We start from the raw sequence: 8,467 nt of genomic DNA, 5'->3' as shown, positions 1-8,467 counted from the left end.
TTTATGGCAGTATGGCTGTGGTATATATTTGCAAGATTGATTGGCTTCATTTATGGGTGATTTCAAGGTACCAATGCTCTGCACAGGTTCCTTAGTTGCAAATAAGTTGCAGTGGCTTTCTCTAATGCATACCCTCCCCCAGGTATGCGTTTGCCTTCAGTGGGGGTGGAGCCACTGGAGAAGCCCGAGAAGCAGTCTCCTTCAGCCTACACTCCCCAGGCCCTGACAGGAAGAGCCAATGCCAAGTCAGCAACAGTGTACTGAGGAGGGGGCTGGGATATGAGATATGACCCCTCTCCACATCTGCTCCTGGGCTTTGGTGGTGCTGCCTTCAGTAGCTGATGCCATGCTCACCTTTTCTTTGACCTAAGGAGGGCTTTGGTAGACTGTGTTCCCCTGTCCTTAGGGGCAGACTGCACTGAGGGTTGGATCTCCAGTGGAGTGGGGCCCCTCCTTCTTCTCAGAGCTGCTGGGGCCCTGTCCCTCAAAAGAGCTAGGGAGAAGGCTGAGGCCCCCAGCAATGACACCCACAGATGGGTTCCAGGTCATAAAGATGTCCCTGGCTGCAAGTCTTACTGCCCAGGAAAAACTCAGCTTCAGCAACTCTCCTCTTGCTCCAGTCCTGTGATGGGAGAGGACTTAATTTCAACAGCTACTGCTGGGCCACTCTCCACATTCCCTGCTAAATTCTGGCTATGGGGGCCTTTCCACCATTCCAGAGCAAGTTCTTCAATCTCTGGCCCAAGACTAAAATGTCTGTTGTGGCTGCTGCTGCCAGGTGGCCAAACAATATCTCTAAATTCTCAAAAGAGTGCCATATGTGGGCTTGTGACTGGAAAGAGTGGGACCCTTCTCAGGTGGAAACAGCATGGGCAAGAAACTGTGTGGAGTGTGATCTGTTAAAGTCTCAGTCTCACAGCAGCTTCTAGCAGGATGTTGGGCATTGTCCTATGTATGCATAGGAGAACTTGGCTTCCCTGTCCCTCCTTGGCTGGGTGGTGGTTGCAGCCATATCAGCCTAAACTCAGGCCAAGGGCTGTTCTCAAAGTAGTACCATGAGCCTGGGACTGGAGAGGGTGGGGCACCACACAGACAAGCAATGTGAACAAGAAGCTGTGGGGAGTGTGTTCCATTAATGTCTCATCCTCAACAGCAGGTCACAGCAGGGTGGCAGGGACCCTCCAAGGATTGTGTGGAAGTGCCTGTTCTCTTCTCTCTCTCCTTGGAGAAACACAGTGGCTGCAGCCATGTCTGTAGATCATTGGTATGTGGGGACTCTCCAAATGGCACCTGGCTGAGGCTGCCCTAGGCTTGAATACCTGTGGAATTTTGTGTGGGTTCTCTTTCTGAAGCAATGTCCCTGTGCAGTCTTTAGGTAGCTCCATATGTCGGAAACAAAGGCCTCTTGGGTTTAGGGTCTCTCCCAGAGTTCTGGGGATTCCTCTTTTACTGTTTTCCTGTGTCCAGGAATACATATCTACATGGTAGAATAATCCAATCTGGGTGGTTAGTGTATCCATCACTTCATGCATTTATCATTTCTTTGTGGTGAGAATATTCAAAAGCCTCTCTTCTAGCTATTTAATAATATACAATATTTTACTGTTAACCATATTCACCCTACTGTGCAATGGAACACCAGAATTTATTCATCCTACCTAATTGTAACTTTGTGCCCACTTACCAACCTCTCCCTATCCTCCCCGCCCCTCACCACTCCCCATCCTCTGGTAACTACTGTTCTACTCTGCTCCTATGATATCAACTTTTTTTTTTTTTTAACATTCCACATATGAGTGAGATTATGCAGTATTTGTCTTTCTGTGTCTAGATCATTTCACTTAACATGATGTCCTTGAGGTTCATAAGTGTTGTTGCAAATGACTGGATCTTATTATTTTTTATGGCTGAATAGTATTCCATTGGGTATATATATCACATTTTCTTTTTTGTTTTTTTTTGAGACAGAGTTTTGCTCTTGCCCGGGCTGGAGTGCAATGGCGCGATCTCGGCTCACCGCAACCTCCATCTCCCAGGTTCAAGTGATTCTCCTGCCTCAGCCTTCCCAAGTAGCTGGGATTACAGGCATGTGCCACCAAGCCTGGCTAATTTGTATTTTTAGTAGAGACAGGGTTTCTCCATGTGGGTGAGGCTGGTCTCGAACTCCTGACCTCAGGTGATCCGCCTACCTCGGCCTCCCAAAGTGGTGGGATTACAGGCGTGAGCCACCATGCCCAGCCCACATTTTCTTTATCCATTCATTTGTTGTTAGACACTTAGGTTGATTCCATATCTTAGCTATTGTGAATAGTGTTGCTTATAGACATGGTAGTGCAGGTATGTCTTTGACACACTGATTTGATTTCCTTTGGATATATACCCTTGACACACTGATTTGATTTCCTTTGGATATACACCCAGCAATGGGATTACTGGATCATATGGTAGTTCTATTTTTAATTTTTGAGGTAATCTCTATACTGTTTTCTGTAATGACTGTATTAGCCTGTATTAGCCTGTAACTCTATCTCTGTTTTCTGTAATGACTGTATTAGCCTACACTCCCACCAACAGTATCCTTTTTCTCCACATCCTTGCCAACACTTGTTTTCTTTTGTCTTTTTGGTAATAGCCATTCTAATTAGAGTGAGGTGGTATCTCACTGTGGTTTTGGTTTGCATTTTCCTGATTATTAGTGATAAGCATATTTTGTATACCTTTTGGCCATTTGTATGTCTTTTTTGAGAAATACCTATTGAAGACTTTTGTCTATTTCTTAATTGGGTTGTTTTTGGGTCTTTTTGCTATTGAGTTTAAATTTCTTGTCAAACTAGGCTTGGGTGCACAAGGGTACAGTCAGCCTGGCAGCTGTGGTGCTGTCTCTCTGGGGAGGCAGGGCTACCACTAAGCTGGATGTTGGGCCAGGTGGGTGTGCATGGGTGCATGATGCTGGATAGCCCAGTGGTGGTCTGTCAAGAAAGGCAAGGCTGCTGCTGACCAGCTGTTGTGCCATTGTGGTGTTGCAGGGCTAGGTGGCCCTGTGGCAGTCTTTCCCGAGGGTGAGGGTGATGGCTGGACTGGCATTCTAGCTAGTCATGGGCACACATGGACTGGGTGGGCTGCCTGCCTGTGGTGTGGGTGTGGGCAGGCAACAATGCTAGGTGGCTGTGTGTTGGCTTTTCCGCTGTGCAGGTCTGCCTTGTCCCTGGGGTGGTGGTGTGCTGCATCAGTTTAGACACCAGGGTCTTGGTCATTATATCTGGCCTAGGCTCTAGGCAGCCAGCAGTCAACCATGTGAATGTGATGGAATGACAGTGGGGCCTCAGGGATGGAGACAGTCAGTTGCTACTAATCCCCAGGGAAGGACTGATGCTAGTAGTGGTTCCAGTTTCAAGATGGTGCCAAGCTGTTTGTGGCAGCTTAGCTCACAGGGTGGGAGATGCTCAAGGCAGGCTCCTACTATGATGCAAGGCTGCTGCTTGAACTCCTGGCTACTCTCCAGATGGAATTCAGTGCCTGCAAGGACTGGAGGACTCTCCTGTAGTAAGGTTGGATGGCGTTGGTAGTGACAATGAAGACTACTGGGGATCTCCAGCTTACCATTTCCCTGTAAGAAGTCCCCTTAACCCTGAGCCTATCCCAGTGGAGGAGGCAGTGTGGGCAGAGGCAGAACGCCTTGCTCCCCTCTCCGTGACGCTGTCCTGGGTTTCCTGTGCTCCACAGTGATATCAACTTTCCCCTGGTGCTCTCCAGCATGCTTTCTCAGTCACTCCGGTGACTAAGAAAGCATGAAATATAGTTGTTTATTTGTTTTGGTCTTGTGAAGGGGACGAGCACCAGGTAACCCTAATTAGCTATCTTGCTGAAGTCTCTGTTCTCTATCTTGCTGAAGTCTCTGTTCTCCTTTCAATCAATTGATTTTTTATAAAGGTGCTAAGGTAATTCAATGGGAGAAAAGATAGTTTTTTCAATAAATGGTGTTGAAAAAATTTTTCCTCATGTATTACCTATATGAGGAAAAATTCACCTTGCTCTTTTCATTATACCATACATAATAACTAACTGAAATGGATAAAAACCTAAAGGTAAAACCTAAAACTACAAAACTTCTAGAAGAAAGGAGAATATTTTTTCAATAGGATTGGCAATGGTTTCTCAGGAAACAAAAAGCATGACACTTAAAAGGAGAAATTAGGCCAAGTGCAGTGACTCACGCCTATAATCTCAATACTTTGGGAGGCTGAGGCAGGAGAATCACTTGAGATGAGGAGTTCCAGACCAGCCTGGGCAACATAGGGAGACCCTGTCTCTACAAAAAAATTTAAAAAATCAGTTGGGCATGGTGGCAAGTACCTGTGATCCCAGCTACCAAGGAAGCTGAGGTGGGAGTATCACTTGAGCTTGGGAGGTCAAGGCCACAGTGAGCCATGATTGCACAACTGCACTCCAGCCTGGGTGACAGAGCAAGACTCCATCTCAAAAAATAAAAATAAAAAAGGAGAATTTAATTTCACTAAAACACTCAAAAACACTTAAGAGTATCTCCAAAAACACTGTTAAGAAATGAAAAGGCAAGCCATAGACTAAGAGAAAATTATTACAAAACATATATTTAACAGAGGCCTTGTAACCAGAACAAAGAACTTGTGCAATTCAATAATATTATTACCAATTTAATAAAAAAGGTGAGCAAAAGATTAGAGAAGATTTTTCATAAAACAAGGTGTACAAATGAGTAATAAGCACAGGAAAGGGTGGTCTGCTTCGGAATCACTTTTCACATCATCCTTCATGTGTTATTCCAAGATTTCTTTGCAAGTCCTCCCAAGTTTTCTAGTCTCTACCACAGTGTCTTGCAAAAACACAACATGAGTAAAGCAGTATCATGTGAGTGTTGAGCTATAGTCATGGATCTTACCTATTCAGTCAGTAAAAATTTTTTTCTCATGTAGTTGTTAAAACAGACAAACTCATTAGTAATTAGGAAAACGTAAAACAACAATTAGATACCACAACACACCAATTGGAATGATTGTAATTCAAAAGATTGATGATGCCTAATGTTTGTAAGGAAGTGGGGCACTGGAACTGTTGTCTATTAGTGGCTGGAATGTAAAATGGAACGCCCATGTTGAAAAACAATTTGACAGTTTCTTGTAATGTTAAACATATGTTGCCAACTAGGCAGTTCCACTCCTGAGTATTTACCTAAAAAAAAATGAAATCAGGAGGCTGAGGTGGGTGGATCACCTGAGGTCAAGAGTTCGAGACCAGCCTGACCAACATGGTAAAACCTCATCTCTACTAAATACAAAAAATTAGCTGGGCAGGTTGATGCATGCCTGTAATCCCAGCTACTTGGGAGGCTAAGGCAGGAGAATCACTTGAACCCAGGAGGCGGAGATTGCAGTGAGCTGAGATTGCACCATTGCACTCCAGTCCGGGCAACAAGAGTGAAACTTGATCTCGGGGAAAAAAAAAAAAAAAGAGAAAAGAAATCATAGCTCAAAGACTTGTATACAAATGTTCATAACGTCTCTATTCATAATACCCCAAACCTAGAAACAATCCGAATATCCATCAACAGATGAATGCATAAACAAATTTTGGTAAATTCATACAATGAAATACTAGTTAGCAATAAAAAGTAAGGGACTATTGAGGTATTCAACTCAACATGGAAGAATCTAAAAATCATGCTAAGCAAAAGATAATGTACACAAAGGACACATACCGTATTATTCCATTGATAGGGACAGAAGGAACATCGGTGGTCACATGGCATGTGGGAGTGGGGCACGTGCAGGGAACAGGGTAGGAAAGTTCCTCATCTTGAGGGCCTGGATTACAAGGGAAACTTGGAAAGGGCACAGGCCAACTGTTTGGGATTATGGAAATATTTTATACCTTGGTTGTGGTGATGGTTTTATGAGTTAATACATTTGTCAAAATTCATCAAATTGTGTTATTCAAATGGGTGTTTCATTGTATATAAATATCTCAGTGAAGTTGATTTTTTTTTTAAAGGTCAGAGTCTAGACTCCAGGGACTTCCATGATGGATATGTGACAAGGCAGATACTGAGAATTAAGTTCTCCTCCTTCCCTTCAGACCAGGTTCCTCTTCTTTCAGGACCCGTATTTTTCCAGGTGAAGGCAAGAGTACCCTAAAATTCTATGTGCCCCCCTGCCAGTACAGGGCTCATTGTAGGTGCTCAAGATGTATTAACAAATCCAGAGTGATGCTGAGAGGCTAGCCATTAGCTCCAATTTTGCTTTTTGGCAACTGTCTCTTGGTTTATTAAATAGCTTTAATTGTTAAAACTTCAAAAATTTCCCCTGTAACAGAATAATTTAACTTAGGATCCATCATGAATATCAATCAATTTTTAGAAGCACATTATGACTAGAGAATAAAACTATCTCAAATCAAAACATTGTGCATTCCTGAGTCTCTGTGTATATAATTATATCCTAAGATAATAAATAATAATCCACTTAGGTCAAGTAATTTAACTCCATGGCTTAAAACCCTTCTGTGGTTTCCTATTGTTTTTGAGATGAAGTCCAAACTCCATGGCCTGGCTCCTTAGATCCTTCATGATCCAACCCTTGCCGTTCTGTTCCATCTCATTACTTGCCACTTCTCTCATCAGGCTTTAAGCTTGTGGTTTTCTATGCACAGCACTCCGTCAGCTCTATTACTACTCCCTGGAATATCTCTTTCTCATTTGTTAACCTGGCAAAGGCATACTTGACTTTTAAGACTTAAGTCACATGAGAGCTCCTTCCAGAAGGCTTTCTGACCTCAACCTCCTACATTCCCACCTCCCTGGATCTGGGATACATAAGGCTTGTTCAGTGCCTCCATATACTCTGTGTCAGGGGTGTTCAATCTTTTTGTTCCCTGGGCCGCATTAGAAGAAGAATTATCTTGGGCCACACATAAAATACACTAACACTAACAATAGCTGATGAGTTAAAAAAATTGCAAAAAGAAATCTCATAATGTTTTAAGAAAGTTTACCAGTTTGTGCGGGGCTGCACTCAAAGCCTTCCTGGGCTACGTGTGGACCGTGGACCATCAACCACAGGTTGGACAAGTTTGCTCTTTATAGACCTTGATTGCTGCATTTCTTTAACCATGTGAAATGATTTCCTTCTAGTCTTTCTTCTTCATCTTGTGCACATGGATTATTCATCTCTGGATTTGCAAAAAGATAGTTATAATGGTATATTACCCAACTCCTGGACTCCTCATTTGAGTCCAAGAGTTGAAGGATGCAGTGAGCTATGAATACTCCGTTGTACTCCAGCTTGGGTGACAGAGTAGGACCCTGCCTCTGAAAAAAAAAAAAAAAAAAGAGTGACAGAACCAGAATTTCAACTCAAAGCTATGCAACTCTAAAGTGTATCAGTTCATGCCCTGCCCATTTTGCCTCTGCTCCAAGAATCAATGGCAAGAGTTGGTTTGGCCCATTGCTCACCAGTTGATACCATGTACATGTGTTTCACTGGTTAAGTTTTGAAGTGAATTGTTTCTCCCAGCAGTCTTGTTAAGTGACCAAGCTAAATTTGAAGTCAAGTGTCTTTGGTGTCATGAGAAGCTCCAGTCCAGCTGGTCTCTGTAAGAGTTCCTCCTAGAACCTCCTCCCAGACTGGTCTACTACAGGAGCCATCAAGCGCATTGGATGGCACCTTAGTGGATACCATTAAATACTTGTTGAATGAGCAGACCCAAGAATTACATACTTTGTAGCTTACAAAAGGAAACCTCTCCCCAAACTATTCTTCAATAGAGTGAAATACTCATCTATACCCTCATCTCGTTTCCAGTATTTCATGTAGAGTCTTGAACAGAGAAGGAATTTAATTAATGTTGGCATCTTTGTTGAAACATACATTTATGATAAGTTGTCTTTAATAATTCTTTTTTTCTTTTAAAGTTAAAAGACTTTAGTTTTAGCTTTGGTTCTGCTATCCTTGTGAACTTAAATAAGCACTTTCACCTTTCTTAGCTTCACTTTCCACATCTAAATAAAGGAAATGATAAAACTTACCACAGAGGACTATTTTGAGAATGAAATGATATATCATCTAGATCAAGAACTGTGGCATTTGAAATGGTCAGGGAGGTCTTTCCTGAAAGGTGATACTCACAATTATTCAGAGATGGTCAAATCTGGAGAGCCTGGGGATGCTGGCTCAGAAAGGCTGCATGAGATATTTAGTCAGTTTTGGGGCTGATGGCTGAAAGATAATCTTGAAAAATCGGAATGGATTGTGGTACAGCAGGGAGAGGCCATAATCTTTTCTCGCCCTCTTTCTTACCTCTGGAGACTTCTATCCACATCTGGCTTAGGTCATCAGGCAAAATTAATGTGTTGGTTTCACCCTGCTGACATCTGTTTCTGTCAGTGCAAGCCCTCAGCAGCTTGGGTGCAAATGAGCACAAGTGTCGGCCCTTT

The sequence above is a fragment of the Homo sapiens genome, chromosome 1, assembly GCF_000001405.40.
Source record: "Homo sapiens chromosome 1, GRCh38.p14 Primary Assembly".
NCBI classification, from domain to species: Eukaryota; Metazoa; Chordata; class Mammalia; order Primates; family Hominidae; genus Homo; species Homo sapiens.
Note: the sequence above shows the minus strand (reverse complement) of the source record.